Source organism: Homo sapiens, chromosome 2 (assembly GCF_000001405.40).
Source record: "Homo sapiens chromosome 2, GRCh38.p14 Primary Assembly".
NCBI lineage: Eukaryota > Metazoa > Chordata > Mammalia > Primates > Hominidae > Homo > Homo sapiens.
In genome coordinates, this window is record NC_000002.12 from 175203085 (window position 1) to 175204418 (window position 1334).

General features: G+C 36.6%; 1 annotated feature.

The window, feature by feature from the left end:
- Positions 684 to 823: a silencer, noted in NCBI's record as "silent region_12134". NCBI's record gives its function as "represses an Ori minimal core promoter by ATAC-STARR-seq in GM12878 lymphoblastoid cells {active_cell/tissue: GM12878}" and the evidence as "EXISTENCE:reporter gene assay evidence [ECO:0000049][PMID:35858748]".

Consider the following 1334-nt stretch of genomic DNA (forward strand, 5'->3'; position numbering starts at 1 on the left):
AGTAAGGTTCTTTATAGAATTTTTCCCCTCTAATGTGGGCCCAGCCACATTGACATTTTTGAAGAATACAGGTCAACTGCATACTTTTTCCTGGCTATGATCATATATATTTCCCAGTTATTAGTTGTAAATAATAGAAATTGCCTGTGGCTGATTTAAGTAGGAAAGGGATTTATTGAAAAGGTATTGAGGACCTCCTAGAATTTTAATATATCAGTATATCTCAATAAATATTTTTTACAAACAATAATAAATTATATTTATTGAGCACTTACAATGTGCTGCACACTGATCATATTACGTTATTGCCTTATCCAGTAAATAACCCTACGAGGTAAATTTCCTTTCCAATACTCCTGAATTTATTTTAGAAATGAGACAACTATAGATTAGGAAAGTAAAATGAATTTCCCAAGGCCACACAGCTAGTAAGGTGCTGAGCCAGTGTTCAAAGTCAAGTTTTGTCTGACACTAAACTCCATTCTTTTTCTACTCCATATTTTAATGGCAGCATAACTTGAAAACATTTCTGAAAGACATTTGCTAGAAAATAAATGATCTGTGGTAGACTGAAACATTAAATATTGCTTCAGTTGATATTATGAGAGATGTATATTGTAAAACATACACGCGTTTTAGCTTTTCTCCATCTTTAAAATCACTTCACAGACATGACCGAATGCTAGAGGAGCTGGCGAGAAAATCCTCAGCGTGCACATCAAATTGTACCCACTTGGGGGCACCCACAATGCAGCTTTTCTGCCTGTTCTGCCTAGAAGCTTCGAGCCCTGCAGAGGTGGATTGAGCCAGCTGCTCTACAGGACTCGGACAGCCCGATCTGATATCTCAAGAAATAGTGCCCTATATCTCCAAGTTTAGGGGATATTTTACTTAGTTTGTTGCCCACATGATAAACTATTTTCTGCAGTTTAAAACATCAATAATTAATACAATTGCTACAGGCCAAACGTGCTAGATATATGTTAGGATTTAATGACCAAGAACTAAAAATAATTTGCTGACTTAAAATGATACGTTTGTCCAGAGGATTTTTTTTGGATTTACGCTATGCCAAAATTAGGAACATAATGATTAACCAATAGGGGTAAAAAATGTGCTGTAAAATCAAGCTAAGTGTTTTAAAATAGTTTTGCATTGTGGTCTCACCTGAAACATGCTCTTTGGTAGGGACATGTGTTGGCGATCTCCAGTGCTGCTGCTGATGTAATCTCCAGGCCAGCCATTTGGTCTTTAGCTCTATTTGATAGTAGAGATCCTCCTGATATATACAAATGTCTAAGATGCCACTGAACCCAGATGTAGTTGCTGTGGCT